The sequence below is a fragment of the Homo sapiens genome, chromosome 8 (assembly GCF_000001405.40).
Source record: "Homo sapiens chromosome 8, GRCh38.p14 Primary Assembly".
NCBI lineage: Eukaryota > Metazoa > Chordata > Mammalia > Primates > Hominidae > Homo > Homo sapiens.
Window position 1 is genome coordinate 62,151,494 of NC_000008.11, and position 17,568 is coordinate 62,169,061.

A 17,568-nucleotide genomic window follows, 5' to 3' on the forward strand; every position below is an offset into this window, starting at 1 on the left:
TTCTTCAGTTGTTGTAACAATGTTCTCTTCGTTGTCTTTCAAGTATTCACGAATGATGTCCCCAAACTCTTCTAGCTTTCCCTAACAGTCTCCTTGAGGCCATTCTAGCATCTGCCACCAGTTTCAGATTTTTGTATTGAAATACTTCATTTCTGGTCACAAGTACTCTTTTTGTTATCTATTGCTTCGTAACAAAGTACCCAAACTTAGTGGCTTGAAATAGCAAATATTTACTTAACTCACACAATTTTGTGGGTCAGGAATTTGGCAGGGCTCAGATGCATGATTCTTCCGCGCTATATGTCATCAACTGGGTCACTTAGTGGTGTATATCTAATGGGGAGACATATCTGGAGGGTCCAAGTTAGCTTCATTTACTTTGCAGGGGATGTTGTAAACATTAGACTTAATTGCGCCCCTTTTCCTCTTCAAGTAGCCTCAGAGCCCTTCCCTTCCTGACCCTCCTGCACCCTCTCCTACCCACCATAATTTTACTTGAAGGGTAGTCTGTTGGATCAGGATTTTACTTGAAGGGTAGTCTGTTGGAAAGGTAGCTTGTTGGATTTTCCTGAAAGGTACCTGTTGCATCAGGAGTTAAAGGGAAAAGGCAAAAACTAATCTTTTTTTTTTTTTTTTTTTTCCCAAAGAATTGGCTCTCATTGGGAGATATTTACTTCTACTACATGCTATGGTCAGTCACAGATCAGGCCAGATACAAACGGAGAGAAAATAGGCCCCACACTTGATGGAAGGAGTGTTATCTTATTCTTCCTTCAATGTTTATTTGCATAATCTGAGGTCTCAGTATAAATCAGACATACAAATTATTGGGAGGCTTGCACCCAAGGTACTAGTAGCTCTAATTTTGGAAGTTTGCATATCCAACATAAAAGCCTTTTTAAAAAATACAGGTAGGCACTGTATAAGGATATATTGGTTGACAACAGACCTCATATATGACAGTTGTCCCATATAATTATAATGTAGCTAAAAAACTCCTAACACCTAGTGATGTTGTAGCTGTTGTAACATCATAGCACAGGGCATTACTCACATGTTTGTGCTGATGCTGGTGTAAACAAACCTATTGCACCGCCAGTCTTACAAAGGCATAGCACACACAATTATGCATAGTACATAATACTTGATTATGATCATAAACAACTATGTTACTGGTTTATGTCTTTATTCTACTGTACTTTTTATCATTGTTTTAGAGTGTACTCCTTCTACTTATAAAAAAAAATAGTCAACTGTAAAGCAGCCTCAGAGAAGTCCTCCACAAGGTATCCAGAAGCAAATATTATTATCATAAGAGATGACAGCTCCATGCACGTTATTGCCACTGAACACCTGCCACTAAGATATGGAGGTGGGAGACAGTGTTACTGATGATCCTGACCCTGCGTAGGCCTGGGCTAATGTGTGTGTTTGTGTCTTTGGTCTTAACAGAGTTTAAAAAGTAAAAAAATAAAAATAGGCCAGGTGCAGTGGCTCATGCCTGTAATCCCAGCACTTTGGGAGGCCGAGGCAGGCGGATCACTAAGTCAGGAGATCAAGACCATCCTGGCTAACACGGTGAAATCCCTTCTCTACTAAAAATACAAAAAATTAGCCGGGTGTGGTGGTGGGCACTTGTAGTCCCATCTACTAGGGAGGCTGAGGCAGGAGAATGGTGTGAACCTGGGAGGCGGACCTTGCAGTGATCTGAGATCGCGCCACTGCACTCCAGCCTGGGCGACAGAGCAAGATGCCATCTCAAAATAAATAAATAAATAAATAAATAAATAAATAAAATAAATTTAGATAAAAAATAAGGATATAAAAAATAAAATATTTTTATACAGATGTACAATGTATCTGTTTTAAAATGTGCTATAACAAAAAAGTCAAAAAGTTTAAAAAACTAAAAAGTTTATAAAATACAAAATAATAGTAAGTTAAGGTTAATTTATTATTGAAGGAAAACATCTTAGATAATTTTAGTGTACAGTGTTTATAAAATCTACAGTAGTGTACAGTAATGTCCTAGGCCTTCATATTCACTCGCCACTCACTCACTGGCTCACCTAAAATTCAGTAACTTGCAGTCCTGCAGGCTCCATTCATGATAAATTCTTTATACAAGTGTACCTTTTAAAAATCTTTTATACCATATTTGTACTGTACATTTACTATGTTTAGACGTTTAAATACACAACTACTGTTTTGTTACAATTGTGTACCTTATTCAGTACAGTAACATGCTGTACAGGTTTGTAGCTTAGGAGCAATAGGCTTTACAATCTAGCCTACGTGTGTAGCAAGCTACACTATCTGGGTTTGTGTAAGTATATTCTGTGATGTTCACAGAATGATAAAATCATCTAACGATGCATTTTTTTCAGAATGTATCCCTGTCTGTCATTAACCAGTATATGACTGTACAGTTTTGTGCTGTCTCATGCTCCTCCACTCTCCAAAATCAGTTCATCTCTTTCTCATATACAGCCTATTTCTTTCTTTTCTTCTTCTAACTTGACCCAACCTACTTAGGAAAATGTATGGGTTTGTCCCCGTTTTCTCTTTTTCTTCCTTTCTCTTTTATCTGTATGCTAAACAACATACTCTGCTTCATACTCATCCATGTCCTTATTGTTTCTAGAGCCCATACTCCAGCCTCATCTCATGCAACTTTCCACTTTGCTCGCTGAATTTCTGCCACACCGTCTTGCACTTTGCAGGTTTTTCTTGCCTAAAATATGTGTGAACATTTCCAACAATCCTCTGTTGTGGTTATCTGGACAATATGTCCTTCCTAGTGAATTGTAAGTTCCATGTAGACAAAGGCCTCGTCTGTTTCACTACTATTATTTGCCAGCAGCCAACACAGTTACTGATACACATTTGATGTTCAGAAATTATTTATTCAATAACTAATTAGAAATGTGAATACCATCAAAGTTAAGTGAAAAATTAGGAATAGAGATGTATCTATCCACAAAAAAGTGAAACATGTTAAAATGAAATTATAACTAGTTCCCAATGTCACACTAACTATTAAAGCCTGTCAAAATGCCCAGAAATTGTTTGAGGCATTTCTATATAAATGTTCTTCTACCTCCTCCAACCCTGATATTTGAAATGAAGACATGCAACACATAAAATCTATTTCCAGTTAATTCATGTTTAATGTTTAAGGTTAAAGCAGCATTATTTTCCTTCATTGGGTTAAATAGCCTTTTGGAGGCTAAACAGACAATAAATCAACATTGCTCATCAAAAAAAAAATGCATTTTTGTTGTTCAAATTCCCAGTTTTGGCACACAACCACACTAAGTGGATACCTGCCAAAATAATCTATAAGTATAGAAAAATAAATAGGTTATGTGCCATTTTCCAACAGCATGGTACAGTTTTTGACAGCCATTTATATCTTTAGATTCTTTTTTACTATGAATTCAGAGACAGCATTTTGGAAGATTTCTAACCTATCTCCTCTTTATTGAATGTACACAACAAATGAATGTGAGTATTTGGGGAGGATTTTCTCCATTCTCATTGCATGAGTTTTCAGTGTTACATTAAAAACTGTAGTTCCTCAACCCATAAGAACTACAACCTTCACAATCAGTGAAACTTTGTAAATATCTTCTAAAGCAGCAGTATTGGTTTAGTACACTATAAATGCTTATCACTGCCTCTAGAATATTTAATGTTTTCTCTCTTCACAAAGTAATAAGATAATTTTTCTTAACAAATATTACCGATTTTAAAGTATGAATCTTAGAATGTGAGCCCTGAAAAAGACCTTGAGAAGTCTTCTAGTCCACATCTTTGTATCCCTATAGGTCGACTACAGCCCACCCTGGATAATGTTCATTGATCCCATATTTAAATACTTCAGCAGGAAGAGGGTTCTTTTTGTTTTTGTCTGTGGTAGGTTTCGACGTTTAATAACCCATAAAGCTCTTAGGAAATTTTTCCTTATATCTACCCTAAATTACCAATGGCACACGGATTTAGATTTGAATCTTAAGTAACTAGAATAAATTACCTCTGCTATGGAAATAGACACCCTCTCTGAATTTGAAAAACTGTAGTCTCTGTGAAATAAACTGAAAATATTACTTCTCAGGGATGGAGTACGTGATTTTCAGTCAAGTGTCCCAACTCCACAAAGTGCTTGTGCTATAGTAAGCTAAACGACTAAATGGTCTTGGTGCAGCCCTCCAAGACACTTGTGAGCAGTGTAAACACCAGAGCCAAAACAGAATGCAAGAGATGAACCATGACAAGAAATCAGACAAAATTATGGTCAAGAGCCATCTGGGTGATGGGTTATGCACACATATAGGCATCCCACACACATCTCAGCAAACACTATGTTTAAGAAGATGAGGACAAGCTGAGCCAAGGCTCCTATGCCTATCAGTGCTTCATGAACTACAAGGGGACTTCACCAACAGAGACTCTTTTCTAGGATTTTATTCTGATAATACCACTGTATTATTTGTGACTACACAACTTACTTATCTACAGGTGAAATCTTTCTTTTTACTCATCCTCTAAGTTCATTTTGCCTAATATTTGACCTTGACATCTGATGACACGTGATGGTGGAAGGTCAAGGGTTTATGTGAACAGTCAGCATACTCTAGGAATGGAAGAAGGTGAAAGTTAAAAAATAAGTAAGTAGAGTTGGCAAGTTATTCAAGTTCTTATTAGTTGTGTCACTTCAGGTAGATTATTTAAGCTTTTTAAAGCTAAGTTCCTTCAACAGTAAAATAGATGTAACCGTATCTACATCATGAGTTTGTATAAGGATTAAGTGGGTGCCATTATTCATGAGAAAAGCTTCGTACTCTTAACTATTGTTTCTGACAGTTAATGTATGAAAGCATGAACATGCTAATATTAAAGAAGCTTCATTTATTTTTAATTCAGTAAGCATTTGCCTATCATCTACCTAAGTATAAGATCTAGGTTCAGGCTTGTTGGTGAAATCAAGAATGAATTAGAGAAAAATCTTAAATTCAATCTGTGAAAAAGAGATGTGAGGCTTATCTATCAAAATGTAGGTACTCAATAAATATTTGTCAATATTGTCAACCAACATTTCCCCTTGTACAAAATGAAAAAAGTTATTATAATGCAATATATAGCAATATTGGAGAAAAGTCAAGCTAAAGGGTCATATAGTTCAAATGGGGGAAACAGGTTAAAAAATGTCCAGATATGTAGATAACATAGGTCAGGAAGGGTTACAGGGAATTTTGAAAGTGTATGTGGTTTGTGGTCCAGGAAAAATATCTTTTGCACCATTTGCCTTCTGAATTTTGTCTTCTGAATATTATGCGTTATTAGCAGTTCTCAAGAATCCCTAGAAATATATTATTTTTCCAGTTTAGCTGCCCTAAAAGGAGAAGGACACTGTCTTACTACATTTAAGGATCTTTACAGATAAGTAATAGAATGGGACATCAGTCTCCAAAGAGGATAATTTCACCATTCTGTTTGAGGACATGTCTTCACCCATGCTAAAGGTTATGTTTACTCCAGTCTGGTTTTCCATGTGATTCTCCCTCTTTTCTCTACTTGCAATCTTCCCACTCTACTGGCTTATTCTGTGTAGTTCAAGCCTCTAGCAATAAGGGAATAAAATCCTTAAATCTTTCATCTTTATTACATTCTTTCACATCACAACCAAGCTGCTTTAAAAAGCATGTTGTGAGACTTTCTGTTTTTGGTCTAGCCTGTAAATAGTTTGGAAGTCACTATTCCATCCTAACAATAAGTAAAAAGATGAACAAATGGAAAACTCAACAACTCTTCTTAGATCTGAGAGAGAAGTGAGGCCACAGGGCAAGGTGGTATCTCAAAAACTGGAAAGAGAGATAGACAGGTGGATATAAAGAATCACAATTCACTGGAGCAGAAAGCCATGAGCAGCAACCTCCATAGGGAACCAGAGTCAGATGAGGAAAACCTGAATTGTGATTGAGAAACTGATGAAGGCTCAGAGTAGACACATTTGAGAGACGCAGACTCCAGTGGGACCCAGTCATTGGGGGCCCCCACATTTTTGTGCATTTTTTCCATCAAGAGCTCTGCCAACTTCTCACAGAGAAAACTGGAGAAAAATTCCCTCAGACTTTCAGCAGAAGGAGGGAGTAAATAACCACTTTGAAATATACCAGAGCATTCTGTGTCTGTTCTATTTAACCAGATATTTTGCCAGAGCTTAACCTATTGGAATTTTTGTCAGAGCCTTGCCAATCTCGAAGAGAGGAAATACCAAACTCCAGCCCCACCTAGCTATCCTGTGAAACCTAGGAGAGTAGGAAAAAATAAATAAGAAGCATTTGTCAATATTGTCAACCAACATTTCCAGCCCCATGTGGCCATCCTGTAAAACCTAAAAGAAATTCCCAGCCTAAAGGAACTTCACAGACCAGGGCACAGGATTATTAAAATACTGAGACATAATCATAGGACTATAGGATGCTTCCTCTCCCTGGACACCTTACTAATACATGACTAAAGGCCTATTTAACATAGTTTCTTTACCCAGTACATCATGTCTGCCTTTCAACAACAATGACAAATTACAAGACATACTAAAAGCCAAAACCACAATTTGAAGAGACAGAGTAAACACCAGAACCAGACTCAAATACAGCAGTGATGTTGTAATTATCAGATCATAAATTTAAAACAACTATAACTAATGTGCTAAGCGGTCTAATAGAAAAAACAGACAACATGCAAGAACAGATGGACAATGTAAGCAGAAAGATGGAAATTCTGAGCCAATCAAAAAGAAATGCTAAAGTTCAAAAACGCTGTAACAGAAATGAAGAATGTCTTTGATAGATTCCTTAGTAAACTTGACATGGCTGAGGAAAGGAATCACTGAGCTTGAGGATATGTCAATAGAAACTACCAAAACTGAAAAACAAAGTGAAAAAGACTAACAAAAAACTGGAACAGAATATCCAAAACTTGTGACATGATGACAAAAGGAATAACTTACATGTAATAGGAATACCAGAAGTAGATAGATGAAAGAGAGAAAGAAACAGAAGAAATATTTAAAGCAGGAATTACTGACAATTTCTCAAAATTAATGTCAGACACCAAAGTACAGATCAAGGAAGCTCAGAGCACACCAAGAAGGATGAATGTCAAAAATACTACACCTAGACATATCATAAACTGCAAAAAAAAGAAGGTAAATAAATCATGTTAAAAGACATCAGAGGAAAAAAATATCTATACAGGAACAAAGATAAAAATTATACCTGACTTCTAAGAAAGGAGTAGAGTGAAATATTAACAGCATTGAGGAAAAAAACCCAACAACCTAGAATTCTATACCCTGCAAAATTATTCTTCAAAAATGAAGAAGAAATAAAGTCTGTCTCAGATAAACAAAAATTAAGTGAATTTGTTGGCAGGAAATCTGCCTTGCAAAAATGTTAAAAGATCTTCAGAGTTAAAGAAAATTATATAGGTCAGAAACTGTGATCTGCATAAAGAGGAAAAACACTGGAAAATGAATAAATGAAGGAAAAATAAAAACTTTTCTTATTCTTAATTGATCTAACATATAAAAATTTGTTTAAAATAATAATATCAATATATCCAATTATGCATTTCTATGTGAATATAATTACATGTATGCTTGTGTATAAATGGAAAGAATACCAGAAATGATACAAGGCCCAGAAGGGAGAAATTAAGAATATTTTGTTATTTTAAGGTATTTGCCCTACCCATGATATTTCTACCAGCATCCTGTTTAATATTCTATCATTTTCTAAGATAGAAATATCTATCTTAGATATTTCTAATATAGAAATATCTATCTTAGATATTTCTAATATATTCAATATATTTCATAAGTCTCACTTCTTCTATACCCTCACCAGCAGCACATTTAAAGTCCATATCTCTAGCAACAATGTCTTTATGATTATTTAGATGATTACTATAACAACACCCCACTATGGTACCCAAGTTTGTGTTAATTTCCCGTTCCTGCTGCAAAAGGTTACTATAAATTTAGTGGCTTAAAAATCACGTTTATTTTCTTATAATTGCAGAAGTCAGAAGATCAAAAACAGTTTCACTGGACCAAAGTCAGTATATCATCAAGGTTAGCTCTTCCAGAGGCTGTGTGAGAGGATTGGTTTCTTGTTTCTTCCACTTACAGAGGCTGCAGCATTCATTGGCCCCTGGGTATATCATTTCAATCTCCACTTCCATCGTCACCTTGCCTTATGATTGCTAAATCAATCATATGTTAGCATAAATGTATTGATTTCTCTTTGCTAGGGACCCTAAGCAAAAGCAACCATTGTTATTTGAAAAGCCAAGGAGAAATCAGAAATGAAAGGAAAACAAAAGAAAACCTGGATTACTCTTCCTTATATGCTTCATGGTTACTCTTTTCTCAAAGTTTGGGGGATTAAAGGAGTAGTGTTAAAAAGGCCAAAGTTCCTAATACAAATTCAAGTGTGCAAGAGTAATAACTTTGTTGAGCCACGTGCTAGCCTAGAATTCAGTCTGGTTTTCTAAGGTTTTGGCTTAAAATGTAAATAAGGACAGAACCTGTATAAGCTTTGTCCTGTAAACTTAATTCTTTTTATTACATAAAAATTTATAGTATGAGAATGTTTACTCCATGAACTGAGATGGTTCTTGCTTGTCATTTAAATATTGTGGCCTTAACCATATTTCTTTGTAATAGTGCATTAGGAGCAGGCATTAGAAAACAGTAGGAAAAATTGAAGACTATTTGTCAGCAAACTGTGACGCAGATGAAGAAACATGACTAAACTTGTGAATGGTGGAGAAACCTGGGGAAGGGATGACTTACTGATTTGTTGGAGTGTGGCTTCAGAGTGCTAATGAAGATTATAATAGAATATAATGTTCACAATATTAGATTTCTGAAGGGATAAGAAAGAAATGTCCAGAGGAAAAAAGGTCAAAATCTGAAGAAGTGATGACTTAATAGAATGTCAAGCATTCTTTTCTGTGAGATGTGATATTTTAGTATCATTAGGATGAAGTGAGGAAATATAAACATGAGAGTCTATAGTAGAAAGAGGGAAACAAAATAACAGGTTATATGGTTTTTTGTGCTAACTTATATGTGCATTACAAGTGAATTCTACAGGAAGGATAAGGAGGAGGAGGAGTAGGAAAAGAAGTAGGAGGAGGAGGAAGGAGGAAGAACAAAGAGAAGAATAGAAGAAGAAAGAGAAAGAGCAGAAAGACAGCAGTAGCAGCAGTTCCAGCATAGACAAGAACAAGAGCAAGAATAAGAATAGGAAAGTCCTGATAAAAAGCTGAGTTGCTTCATGTGGTTCTGGAGAAATTGAACAGATTACAGCTCTTAAGGCAGGAGACCTCCTATCACAGTTAACACTCCAGCAAAAACTGAGAAGTATCAGATTTTGGCAATGGCTACCCCTAGAGGCAAGGCTTCCTGCCAATAAAGATCAACACTTGCAGAGAGCTTAATGTCTGCTAAGGACTACAATAGGTGCTATACATTAATTAAATTATTTAATAGTTATAAAAAGCCCATGAGATAGGTGAAATTATTACCCATATTTTACCAATTAGGAAATTCAGGAACAAAGAGGTTAAATAATTTACCCAAGTTAGTCAGTGCCCGAGCTGGGATTTAAACTGAGGCAATAAGAGAGGCCTGACATGAGCAACATGAAAAAGTAGGAGTTCCGAGCCTTCATCTCCCAACGAAAAGCAATAATTAGACATTTTTCATGAAGAAAATAGCTCTGGGAGAGTGCAAGAGTCCAGTTACAAAGCTACAGCAACACAGTAGTGCAAAGAGAGAGAAAGGAAGAGAGACTATTAACCACACAGAAGGGTAGGAAGAACAGTTTCATTCTGCCTTCATCATCCCATCCCTCAGGCCTATACAGCTCAGTGTCCAGAGGAATTTCCTCAGCCCATGAGTTCCCTTCATAGAGGAAATGAAAGGCAGAGTGAATGACCAGCTTCACTAGTTTTTGGAGCACTGCCCATGTGACCAAAATTATTTCACCCCACCCACTGGAGAGATCAGCATAACCAAGGTATCTAGAGATGGCTAGGAGCAAAGAAGGAAGAAGCTGTCAGTATCATCAACACAGTGGGAGCCACTGCAGTCCACCGTGTCTTGCTCCTCAGAGAACCCCCACAGCCTTCACTAATGAGGACCTCAACAGCCATCATGAATGCCTTACTGTTTTTGCTGCAAGGACCCTGCAGTTTTTCACATTCACAGACCACAGCTGCCCAGACTCCTAAACCATCCTGCCAGAAACATTCTATCCTGTGCCACCACAGGTGTTCCAGCTTCAGAACCCAGTTTAGCCACCACATGTATGCCTGAAACCAGCTCCAGCCCCTGCAACCAGTGTTTCCCTCCTCCCCATTGTTCATGCACCCATGGTTGACCACTTGCATGTAGCCAATGCCAGCCCCACTGACAGTCCCCTCTTCCACATTCATGCACATTGCCAGCCCTGACACCCACAACTGGGCATGCACAGACAGACAAACCCAAAGCCTGCCAACAGGCCCCACCACTGTGCATACAGACACAGCTGGTCGCTGCAGCTGCTTGCATGCAGGCTGACAGCTTGGCCCTTGCAGGTGTTCATGCACACATGATCAGTCCCAACCCCCACCAATGCCAGACCCTACCACCAAGCATATGCATACCACTGACATAAGCCTGAGATGCCACCTGCCTTAGTCCCTTCCCACCAAAAGAAGATCACTGCTAAACCAAAAAGCACCTCCAAGGACCCAAACAACCCTCACAGCCAACACAGACATTTGTAGCTCTCACCCCATCGGCTGTGGAGTTGCTGCTGTTGCAGACTGACCCCAGTTGCCTGATCCACGAGAAACTGCATCCTACTGCCACTTTTGGTGTCCCATGATAGTATACCCAGTGTTACTACACATTTGAATGTGCCCCCTCAACAACACCCAAGGAACTACACCCTACCTCCGTCAATGCTGAAGGTATTGCTGAAGGTCGTTTCTTACTGAAGGAGTCCATAAAGTCCTAAGCAAGTCTACAAGGATTACAAAGACTCAGGGAAATATGACACTACCAAAGGAACAAAATAAACTTCCAGCAACTGACGTGAAATAAATAAATATCTGTAATTTGCCTGAAAAAAATTCAAAATATGTATGCTATAGAAGCTCAGTGAGCTACAAGAGAACACAGATACACAATTGAACAAAATCAGAAAAATAATATAAGAACAAAATGAGACCAATAAACAAAAGCTAGAAAACATAAAAAAAAGAACCAAATAGAATTTATGGAGCTGAAGAATATGATAACGGAAAAAAAATACAACAGAAAGTGTATTAGTTAGGGTTCTCCAGAGGAACAGAACTAACAGGAGATGTATGTGTGTGTGTTTGTGTGCATGTGTTTGTGTGTGTGTGTACGTATGAGTTCATTATGGAGGACTGGGTCAACATAATTTCAAAACAAAGTACTGATACAGTTCCAACGAGTGGAGGAACACCAGGGCTCTTGTCTTGTGCGAATTGAATAAAACGACATGGACACACATGGAGTGGCTTTAAGGAGCAGAGGGTTTAATAGGCAAGAAAGAAGGGAGAAGAAAGAAGGAAGAAGCTCCCATGTACAGAGACAGACCGGAGGTGGGGGGTGGTGGCTCCAAAGCCAAGAGAGGAGACCCCGAGTGTGGTGGATACCAGCCAGTTTTATGTGAAGGTTGGAGGAAAGGGTGTCTGATTTGCATAGGGCTCAGGGGATTGGTTTGACCAGGCATGTCATTCACATAGCCCTCAGAAAAAACTGGCCCTCCTACCCTAGCCTTTTAATATGCAAATGCAAGATACCATGACGTTCTACACACGTGGAGATATGTGCGGGTGGCATGTTGCCAGGCACTTATGGGGTCAAGGGCAAGAGGGCAATGGTGGGAATCACCATGTTGTGTGGACCCAATTTCTAATGACCTGCATTTGCATATCAAAGGTTGCTGGCCCAGCTCTAAGAGCCAGGGCTGCTTTAAAAGAGAAAAAAACTCTGGAGCTGAAAAACTTCTGGAGCTGCTTTAAAAGATAAAAAAACTTTCCAAGGACTCCTTTTCCTCTCTATCTGACTGAAATAATTTTTAAATAACTCCTACCACAGTACCACTTAGTCTATCTGCAAGCAGGGGAAAGAAAGAATTTTCTGACACAATTACAAAAACAAAGTACCACGTTAGGCTGTCTGCAAGCAGGGGAAAGAGAGAAGCCAGTAGCGTGGCTCAGTTCAAGTCCAAAAGCCTCAAAACCAGAGAAGCCAACAGTGCAACCCTCAGTCAGAGGCCAAAGGCCCATGAACCCTTGGGAGGCAGCTGGTGCAAGTCTCAAAGTTCAAAGGTGAAAGAAGAACCAGGAGTTTGATGTCCAAGGACAGGAGGAGAGGAAGTCAAGCATCCAGCACAGCATGGGAAGAGAGAGAGCAAGCTGACTCAGCAAGCAAACTACCTGTCCCCCTTCTTCCACCTGCTTTGTTCTAGCTGCTCTAACAACCAATTGGATGATGATCACCCAACATTGAGGTGGGTCTTTCTTTCCCAGTCCTTTGATTCAAATGTCAGTCTCCTCTGGCAATACCCTCACAGACACACCCAGGAACAATGCTTTATCAGCCTTCTAGGCATCCCTCAATCCAGTCAACTTGACACCTAATATTAACCACCACAGACAGCTACAGTAGCAAACTCAATCAAGCAGAAGAAACAATTCTCAGCACACTCAAAAACAAATTTGAAATTACATAGTCTGAGGAGATCAGAGAAAATACATTTTAAAACAGTGCAGAAAATCCACCAAATTTATGAGACATCATTAAGAAAAATCAATATACAAACTACAGGCATCCAGGATCCAGGAGAAGAAGTGAGAATGAAAGGAGCAACAAACTTATTTTTTTAAAAAGAGGGAGAGAGGATTAAGATGGCATATAGGAGACAGGACTAGCTTGCAGCTCCCACTTGGACGGGCAGAGCGGCATGTGGTAACTTACACTGTGAACTTTTGCTCCAAGAATTACCACAGGAACAACCAGGAAAGCCAAGAGAATCCACGGACCCTTTGAAGGAACTGAATCACCGCTGCAGGCTCCCTGAGATGCCAAAAACCTGAGAGTCTGATTGCTTTCTGCTTGCTTTCTCAGCAGGGAGGCTAGTGGTCTGGGGCAAGTCCTCACCCCTGGTCACTGGCTGCCTGGAAATAGACTCAGTGTGGTGTTGGGGGATCGGTCATGGTGAGAATGAGACTGGCCTTTAAGACTGCGGGCTGTGTGGGTGTGGAGTGAGTCCTGTGACTGCCAGCTTTCTCTCACTTCCCTGGTGACCTGTATGACTCAGCAGAGGCAGCCACAATCCTTCTGGAAATATAACTCCATTGGACTGGGAACCACACCCCTATCCCCACAGCAGCCACAGCAAGCCCTGCCCAAGGAGAGGCTGAGCTCAGACACACCTATATCTGCCCCCACCCACTGACCTTTCTCTACCAGCCCTGGTAGTGGAAGACAAAAGTTATAATCACTTGGGAGTTCCATGGCCCTGCCCACTACCCGAGAAACCTGAATACTTAACCAGGTGTCCCTAGGGCAAGTTTACATCTTCCTTATAGGGGCCGCAGCTGATGCACGCTTGAAAGCACCACATCCTGCCTGGAGGCCAACCAACAAAAAACCAGAGCAATAAACAAAAACACAACCAAGGACCCTAACAGAGTACACTTCACTTCCCTGCTACCTCCACTGGAGCAGGTGCTGATATCTATCTACAGCTGCAAGACCTGAAGATGAATCACATCACAGGACTTTTTGCAGACACTCCCCGGTACCAGCCCGGAGCCCAGTAGCTCTACCGGGTGGTTAGACCCAGAAGAGCAAACACAATCACTACAGTTCAGCCCTCAGGAAGCCTCATTCCTAGGGGAAGAGGGAGAACACCACAAGGGAGCCCCCTGTGGGACAGAAGAATCTGAACAGCAGCTTTGAATCCCAGATCTTCACTCTGACATACTCTACCCAAAAGAAAAGAAACCAGAAAAACAATTCTGGCAATATGACAGAATAAGATTCTTTAACTGTCTCAAAAGATCAACTAGCTCACCAGCAATGGATCCAAACCAAAATGGAATTTCTGAATTGCCAGAAAAAGAATTCAGAAGTCGATTATTAAGCTAATCAAGGAGGCACCAGAGAAAGGTGAATTCCAACTTAAAGAAATAATAAAAAAAAAAGATACAGGATATGAAAGGAAAATTCTTCAGTGAAATAGATAGCATAAATAAAAAACAATTACAACTTCTGAAAATCAAGGTCACACTTACAGAAATGCAACATGCACTGGAAAGTCTCAGCAATAAAATAGAAAAAGCAGAAGAAAGAACTTCAGAGCTCAAAGGCAAGGCTTTCAAACTGACCCAATCTGTCACAGACAAATAAGAATTTTTAAAAATGAACAAAACCTCCAAGAAGTTTGAGACTATGTTAAACATCCAAACCTAAGAATAATTAGTGCTCCTGAGAAAGAAGAAAAATCTAAAAGTTTGAAAGACATATCTGAGGAATTAATCAAAGAAAATTTCCCGTCTTACTAGAGATCTAGACATCCAAATACAAGAAGCTCAAAGAACATGCAGGAAATTCATTGAAAAAGAGATTATTCCCTGCACACACAGTCACTGGGTTATCTAAAGTCAAGATGAAGGAAAAAATCTTAAGAGCTATGAGGCAAAAGCATCAGGTAACCTAGAAAGGAAAACCTATCAGATTAACAGCAGATTTCTCCGCAAAAGCCCTACAAGCTAGATTAACAGTAGATTTCTCAGCAGAACCCTGTGAGTTAAGGAGGTTATTTTTAGCCTCCTTAAACGAAACCATTATTAGCCAAGAATTTTGTATCAGCAAAACGAAGCTTCATAAATGAAGGAAAGATACAGTCTTTCCCAAACAAATGCTGAGAGAATTCACCACTACCAAGCCAGCACTACAAGAACTGCTAAAAGGAGCTTTAAATCCTGAAACAAATCCTCAAAATGCACCAAAATAGAATGTCCTTAAAACATAAATCTCACAGGACCTGTATAACAATAACACAATAAAAACAACAACAAGGTATTTCAGGCAACAAATAGCATGATGAATAGAATAGTATCTCTCATCTCAATACTAACATTAAAAGATACAGAATGGCAGAATGGATAAGAATTCACCAACCAAGTTTCTGCTGTCTTCAGGAGACTTGCCTAACACATATGGACTCACATAAACTGAATGTAAAGGGGTGGAAAAAGACATTCCATGCAAAAGACACAAAAAAGCAAGCAGAAGTAGCTATTCTTATATCAGACAAAACAAAGCTTTAAAGCAACAGCAGTTAAAAAAGACAAAGAGAGGCATTATATAATGATAAAAGGACTAGTCCAACAAGAAAATATCACAATTCTAAATAAATATGCACCTAACACTGGAACTCCCAAATTTACAAAACAATTACTACTAAACCTGAGAAATGAAATAGACAACACAATAATAGTTGTGGAATTTAATACTCCACTGACAGCACTAGACAGATCATCAAGACAGAAAGTCAACAAAGAAACAGTGGACTTAAACTATACAACAAATGGGCTTAACAGATATTTACAGAACATTCTGCCCAACAACTACAGAATGTACATTCTATTCATCAGCACATGGAATATTCTCCAAAACAGACCATACAGTAGGACACAAAAAAAGTCTTAGTAAATTTTTAAAAATTGAAATTGTATCAAGTACTCACTCAGACCACAGTGGAATAAAATTGTAAATCAACTCCAGAAGGACCCTTCAAAGCCATGCAAATACATGGAAATTAAATAACCTGCTCCTGAATGATCATTGGGTCAACAATGAAATCAAAATTGAAATTTAAAAAATTACTCGAACTGAACAATAATAGTGACACAACCTATCAAAACTTCTGGGATACAGCAAAAGCAGTGCTAAGAGGAAAGCTCATAGCCTTAAATGTCTACATCAAAAAGTCTGAAAGAGCACAAATAGACAATCTAAGGTCACACCTCATGGAACTCAAGACAGAAGAATAATCCAAACCCAAAGCCAGCAGAAGAAAAGAAATAACATAGATCAGAGCAGAACTAAATGAAATTGAAACAACAACAACAAAAATGTACAAAAAATAAATCAAACAAAAATATGGTTCTCGAAAATAAATAAAATTGATAGTCTATTAGCAAGATTAACCAAGGAAAGAAGAGAGAAGATCTAAATAAGCTCAATTACAAATGAAATGTGAGACATTACAACTGATACCACAGAAATACAAAAGATTATTCAAGGCTACTATGAACCCTTTTAAGGGCACAAACTAGAAAACCTAGAGGAGATGGATAAATTCCTAGAAATATACAACCCTCTTAAATTAAACCAGGAAGATACAGAATCCTTGAACTGACCAATAACAAGCAGAGATACTGAAATGGTAATTTAAAAATTTGCCAACAATAAAAAGTCTAGGACCAGACAGATTCACAGCTAGATTCTATCCATTGACAATCTTATTGACACTATTCCAAAAGATAAAGAGGGAATCCTCCCTAAATCATTCTATGAAGCCAGTATCACCCTAATACCAAAACCAGGGAAGGACATAGCAACAACAAAAAACTAAGACCAATATCCCTGATGAACATAGATATAAAAATCCACAACAAAATACTAGCAAATGGAATCCAATAGTATATTAAAAAGATAGTCCACCATGATCAAGTTGGTTTCATACCAGGGATGCAGGGATAGTTTAACATAAGTAAGTCAATAAATGTGATATACCACATAAACAGAATTAAAAACAAAAATCACATGATCATCTCCATAGATGCAGAAAAGGCATTTGACAAAATCCAGCATCTCTTTATGATTAAAACCCTCAGCAAAATCAGCATAGAAGGGACATACCTTGAAGTAATCAAAGCCATCTACAACAACCCTATAGCCAATATGATACTGAATGAGAAGTTGAAAGCATTCCCTCTGAGAAATGGAACAAGGAAAGGATGCCCACTTTCACCACTTCTATTCAATGTAGTACTAGAAGTCCTAGCCAGAGCAATCAGAAAAGAGAAAGAAATCAAGGGCATCTAAATCACACTAAAGAAAAAGTCAAACTGTCCCTGTTTGCTGATGATATGATCATATATCTAGATACCCTAAAGACTCATCCAAAAGTCTCCTAAAACTGGTAAATGAATTCAGCAAAGTTTCAAGATGCAAAATTTAGGTACACAAATCAGTAGCTCTGCTATACACCAGCAGCAACCAAGCTGAGAATCAAATCAAGAACTCAACCCCTTTCACTATAGCTGCAAAAAATAAAATAAAATAAAATACTTAGGAATATACCTAATGAAGGATGTCAAAGACCTCTACAAGGAAAACTACAAAACAGTCCTGAAAGAAATCACAGATGACACAAACAAATGGAAACACATCCC

The 17,568-nt window shown here is 38.3% G+C and overlaps 1 annotated feature.

Annotated features, from left to right (window-relative positions):
* Positions 12,812 to 14,011: an enhancer, noted in NCBI's record as "CDK7 strongly-dependent group 2 enhancer chr8:63076864-63078063 (GRCh37/hg19 assembly coordinates)". NCBI's record gives its function as "activates an origin of replication core promoter dependent on BRD2, BRD4, P300/CBP, MED14 and CDK7 cofactors, with strong dependence on CDK7, by STARR-seq in HCT116 cells {active_cell/tissue: HCT116}" and the evidence as "EXISTENCE:reporter gene assay evidence [ECO:0000049][PMID:35650434]".